The sequence below is a fragment of the Homo sapiens genome, chromosome 5, assembly GCF_000001405.40.
Source record: "Homo sapiens chromosome 5, GRCh38.p14 Primary Assembly".
Classification (NCBI taxonomy): domain Eukaryota; kingdom Metazoa; phylum Chordata; class Mammalia; order Primates; family Hominidae; genus Homo; species Homo sapiens.
In genome coordinates, this window is record NC_000005.10 from 178,595,840 (window position 1) to 178,602,486 (window position 6,647).

A 6,647-nucleotide genomic window follows, 5' to 3' on the forward strand; every position below is an offset into this window, starting at 1 on the left:
AGTTACAGAAAAATAATCCAAAATAAGGCAGAGAAAGAGGAAAATAGTAATAAAGAACAAATGGAACAGAAAATATCAAGATGGCAGATCTAAACCAAACCACATCAACAACTACACTAAATGTAAGTGGTCCAAACATAACTAAAAGGCAAAGATTGTTAGATAGGATAAAAAAGCAATATCCAACTGTATACTGCCTATAAGAAACATTTTAAAGACACAAAAAATTAAAAGTACACACATAGAAAAAGGTATTGTGCTAACATTAAAATCGAGATAATCTCTATTTGCACTCACTCATTTATATAATTCCTATAGGGTGAAAAGCAAAATAACAGGAAAATTATTTGTAGGCTATAGAATACTGTATAAACCTAGGGGGAATAGATCAAGAAACGGTGAAAATAATAGCTTCTATTCACTAGCACTTTATGTAAATGATTTCAATTAATCCTCACAACCCTCAGGAAGTTGTTAGTACACCACTTCAAAGAAGAGGAGACTAGAGAGATTATGTAACTTGTCCACATAATACAGGTGACAACAGAGTCTGAATCCAACGAACTCTGCTGGTAAGCAGACCATATTGTTCTCATGTAGTTGTTGTGAGGACACTCTAAATATTTAAATGTTTCTAGAGTAATCTGAAAAGTATAAATAGTGAGGTCTTTTAAAAGTAAACTTCCCTATCAACGAGATACTCTAAATATCATAAAGGCTTGCTTTGGTCATTCTCAAAACCGTACTTCCTCATGTTGTCTTTAGCTAGGGGTAAACCAAGAAGCTTTTGAAGACACTTGATTTTTTCTGCTTTAAAAACTGTTTATAATGGAAAAATTTTTAAGTCACCTGAGTGGCTGGGGCAGGGGGATCTTCCAAAAATCTATTAAACTTTACTTCATTTTGTTACACTGACTGCTGGCCTATGACATTCCAGCCTCAAAGGGTATTTAATTCAGGTGTTCTTTATTAAATCTATGCCTCAGTCTTTTTTTTTTTTTTTTTGAGATGGAGTTTTGCTCTTGTTGCCCAGGCTGGGGTGCAATGGTGCAATCTCGGCTCATTGCAACCTCCACCTCCGAAGTTCAAGCGATTCTCCTGCCTCAGTCTCCCGAGTAGCTGGGATTACAAGCACCCACCACCACACCCAGCTAATTTTTGTATTTTTAGTAGAGACGGGGTTTTGCCATGTTGGCTAGGCTGGTCTCAAACTCTTGACCTCAAGTGATCCACCCGCCTTGGCCTCCCAAAGTGCTGGGATTACAGGCGTGAGCCACTGTGCCTAGCCTCCTCAGTCTTTTAATTAGATATGATTTCTCCCCAGAATTGTAACTGTTAAAACCAAAAAAGGAGTGAATGTTAAAAAAAAAAAAAAATCTGAATAGTGAACATACTTGATTGTTAAATACAAATTTCTTTGAAAGTTCTACTCCTTCCAATTTCAGTGAAATGCTGCAATAAAAACTGGGTTGTTAATGGATCAAAAACAGAATTCTTGACAGTAATTTCTGGTGCCATCAAGAACAATTAACATTACTTGAAAAACAAGAAGTTGGCCAGGCGCAGTGGCTCACGCCTGTAATCCCAGCACTTTGGGAGGCCAAAGCAGGTAAGATCGCCTGAGGTCCGGAGTTCGAGACTAGACTGGCCAACATGTTGAAACCCCTACTAAAAATACAGAAATCAGCTGGACGTAGTGGCACACACCTGTAATCCCAGCAACTCGGGAAGCTGAGGCAAGAGAATCGCTTGAACCCGGCAGGCGGAGGTTGCAGTGAGCCGAGATCGCACCATTGCACTCCAGCCTGGGCAACAAGAGCAAAACTCTGTCTCAAGAAAAAACAAACAAACAAACAAACAAATTGGGTTTAAAACATTTATAGAAAAAATAACTGCTATTTCCTAGTGGAACTACCAAATGCCAGGTAATCTGCTAGATGATTTTAATCACGCTGTAACATGGATATTACTTCTAAGTAACCCCAAGTAACAAAGTAAAATTACTTTACTTGGTTGAGTGTCAGAGAGGATCTGGGACTAAGGTTCTAACCATGGTGCAAAAAATCCAAGTCCTTTCAATACACTAAGCTGCTACCTCAAGGAAGTAGATGATAAATAAGAAATGAAAGGCAGAAAGAGCTAAAACCTTTATATTACAGCTTCAACCTAGAGGCTTAATCCCAGGTACAACTTTTTAAGAAAATGATACGTCACAGGTGCTGCGTACTTCTCATTTCATCACCTCAAGAAGTACACCATCAGGTTATCAATCTTAGGCTGTGACTGATCACTGAGTTCAGGCATTGCCAGCCCAATCCTCCTGATAAAGTCCCCTGATAAGGTTTGGCTCCCGGTCCCCACCCAAATCTCATCTCGAAATATACTTCCATGTGTCAAGGGAGAGAGGTGATTGGATCATGGGGGTAGTTTCCCCCACGCTGTTCTCATGATAGTGAGTTTTCACAAGACGTGATGGTTTTACAAGGGGCTCCTTCCCCTTCACTTCTCTTTCTCCTGCCGCCATGTAAGATGTGCCTGCTTCCCCTTCTGCCATGATTGTTAAGTTTCCTGAGGCCTCCCCAGTCATGCAAAACTGTGAGTCAATTAAACCTCCTTCCTTTATAAATTACGAGGTCTCGAGTAGTATCTTTATAGCAGTGTAAAAATGGACTAATACATCCTCCAATTTTCACCCAATGATTCCGCATCTGATGATGATTAGGTGCCTGGATCCATTATTTTATTAAAAGTTGCAATATTGTCTAACATCCCTACTGTATTTATTAGAATAAATTCCACTTAAAAATATCATTTTATAGTCAATTTGTCTGAATCGGGACCAGAGCCCACACATGCTACTATGTCTCAGGGCTCTTAATCATTGTATGTATATTCTCCACTTCCAACCTCATTCTACTTTTTTGGTAATAAAACTGGGTCATTTGTCTTAAAGCATTTCCCATATTCAACATTTCATCATAGTGACATTCATTCTTCTAGTCCCCTATCTTGACTGGATCCTGATTCAAACCAATCAACTATAAATGGCATTTTCTTCAGACATTCATGAAACTTTAAATATGGACTGAATATCAGACAAATAATTATTTTGTTAGATATGATAGTGACATTATGAGAAAAAACTTATCTGTTAAAAATATTTTAGGAATGAAATACCATATTATGATACCATATTGTTACTATTTCATAATTAAAATAAAAATAATTTATCAAATTATTTTAATTAAAATGATTAAAACTCATAATAAAAAAATGAGTGACATAATATGGTATCTGGCATTTGTATTTAAATACAACAGGGAAATTAAGTTGGGGGAAAGGAACAAAATTTGCAAAATGTTTTTAATTTTTGAAGCTGGGCTTTATGTATATAGAAATTCATTATTCTGTTTGACTTTTGCATTCTATTTTTTAAAAATTAATCCCTAATATAGAACTGGCCAACTCTCTCAAATGACTTAAACAGAGTATATTCATATTAGGGGAATTTACTCTTTTAACTATATTCCAAAAGGCTGGATTGACAATTATAAAACTAACCTGACTTTTGAACGTTACATTCCCTTTACTTGAAAAACGTAACAGGCCATGCACAGTGGCTCATGCCTGTAATCCCAGCAACTTTGGGAGGCTAAGGTGAAAGGATTACTTGGGCCCAGGAGTCTGAAGCTGCAGTGAGCTATGATCGCACCAATGCAATCCAGCCTGGGTGACAAACCAAGACCCCATCTCTATAAAGAAACAAAATGAACTCCAACAAAACCAATCAACCAACCACATTCAAAAAACTATATTAAGACCTTTTAGGGATTTGGGTGGAGAGATCAAATTCTTAAAAACAGTGATCAAATGATTAAAAAAAAAAAACCTTTAAGAATTAGAATTGTTTGCAAATATGAACTCTACTAAGACTACAACTGTCGGCTATTATTGATAATGAATTCTTCTGACTACAATATTTGAAAATGTAGCTTTTGTTAATCAAGTACTAGATGTGTAAAGTATTTCACTTGCACCAAATTTTGTGGGAATCAGGATTTTGAAACTGGAAGACAGTTAAAAACCCACGTCTCCTACTTCCAAAGTGTTTCTTCATTCCAGGATGTCAAAGTTAAGACTTAAATATTGGTATCTGCCTATCATTTAAAATAGAAGTTTTCAAATGGCCATGCAATGTTTAACTGAGTAAAGAAAATTTTGAATAAATGAAATACAAGTAATAAAAACCTGGGGGTTTTGGGGTTTTTTTGTTGTTGTTGTTGTTTTTGAGATGGAGTCTCACTCTGTCACCCAGGCTGCAGGGCAGTGGCGCGATCTCGGCTCCCTGCAACCTCAGCCTCCTGGGTTCAAGAGATTCTCCTGCCTCAGCCTCCCGAGTAGCTGGGACTACAGGCGCATACCACCACGCCCAACTAATGTTTTATATTTTTAGTAGACAAGGTTTCACTGTGTTAGCCAGGATGGTCTTGATCTCCTGACCTCGTGATCCGCCCGCCTCAGCCTCCCAAAGTGCTGGGATTACAGGTGTGAGCCACCGCACCCACCAAAAACCTGGGTTTTATTATTCCATTTCACTCGGAGTCATTTCAGAGTAGAGCTGTGAATAAGAAGTCAAACTGATCATTCTGACTCAATGTATTATTACAGGAAAGCACAATGGTAGAATCTGGCAAACCTGAATTTAAGTCACAATTACTGGGAGATTTGGCCAAGTCACTTCCAATTTCTCTAGTATACAGCCCTTCTAGAGTACTCAGAGGAGTAGTTTTCAATTTTATGAAGTATAAAATTGTTAGTAGTTTGTCCCCTTGCTGTCAGCAGGAGTCAATTGAATTCAACTACTCTGAAAATTTTCATGAATGCATGGATGAAAAAAAACCTCAAGAAAATGAGCAGCAGCAGCAAGCTGGAAATAATCTACTTAGCTGCACTTTACAAATGCCTCCTAAAAAAATCAAGCTTGACTTCAATGGAATTTCTAGAAACAATTCAATGGAATTTCTAGAAATAGTAATTCTATGAGGTATCAAATTATTAAGAAAAATACCTAAATTACAAAGGATTCATGTGCATTGGCCATTCTAAATCTTTTTCCCTTTTAGTGTTGAAGCTCAAGGCACTGTCAAAAAAAAAAAAAAAACAAAAAACCTTGGAACTTGACAAAATGAGTTCAGAAATACAAGGAAAAAAGGCAATTAAGAGTAGGAACTTGAAAGCTCAAAGAAGAGGGGAAGGAAGGTTGACAAAAGACACTCAATGATCCCAGAGGTACTGCCCTAACCTCTAAGCATTGCATCTATCCTAATTTTTTAAAGTTTCGTTTTAATTCCCGAAATTCCATGAATTAGGCCTAGAAATTAGCAAATACCCTTTGTGAAGAACGTAAATTTTCAGAAGAGACAGGGGGTTAGCAATCAATAACTTCTTAGTAAGAAATAATGTGAATATTTTTCTTTCCTCCTATATCCTGAGATCAGCTACTCTGAGTTTTTCATAGAAAGTAAACACTAATTTGGGAACTTGAAGCACTTATTGGGGGAAAGGACAGGAGGCTTGGGTAGTACAATGGCAGTGGAAAAATAAAATGAAGGGGAAAATAAAGGATAGCAAACACCTTAATCTGTAGGGCTACACTGGTAAACTCAGGAAAAACCTTGTTTTTAAACATCAAATGCTTCTTTAAAAAAATTATCACATACAGTTCAACTATTCTGAAATAAAGTCACTGTATTTGGACTATATCAGAGGCCTAAACATAATGTATGCAGTCATTCTACAATAAACTTTTTGTTTCAGCTTTCTTAAACTCCTAGTCTACTTTAGGAACACAGCCTTACTGTATTGACAAATGTTGCCCCTAAGTAACATAGAAAACCAAGCTTGGTTTCATTATTTGTCCTACAAGAAAATCCCATGCATTTTATGTTTAAAATACATAAACAGATTAGCCAGGCATAGTGGCTCATGCCTTTAATCCCAGCACTTTGGGAGGCCGAGGCAGGAAGATCACTTGAGGTCAGGAGTTTGAGACCAGCCTCGACAACATGGTGAAACCCTGCCTCTGCTAAAAATACAAAAATTAGCAGGACCTGGTGGCACATGCCTGTAATCCCAGCCACTCGGGAAACTGAGTCAAGAGAATCGCTTGAACCCAGGAGGAAGAAGGTTGCTGTGAGCCGAGATCACGCCACTGCACTCCAACTTGGGCAACAGAGCAAGACTCAGTCTAAAAAAAAAACAAAACCTAAACAGATAAAACTCCAATATTTGTGTAATGCACTTATGAAACAGGGATACTTTTAACAAAAATTCACCTGTATCTGGAAATAAGCACTTAGGAATTCTACAACAAAAAATATTCCTACCTGGCTGACTGAACCATAGCAACAGACATTTTTTTCTTTTGCCCAATTAAGTAATTTACCACATACCGGGTTTTTGTTTTGTTTTGTTTTTTCTTTTTTTGAGACGGAGTCTCGCTCTGTCGCCCAGGCTGGAGTGCAGTGGCACAATCTCAGCTCACTGCAAACTCCGCCTCCTGGATTCAAGCAATTCTCATGCCTCAGCCTCCAGAGTAGCTGGGATTACAGGCGCCCGCCACCACACCCAGCACTTTTTTGGTATCT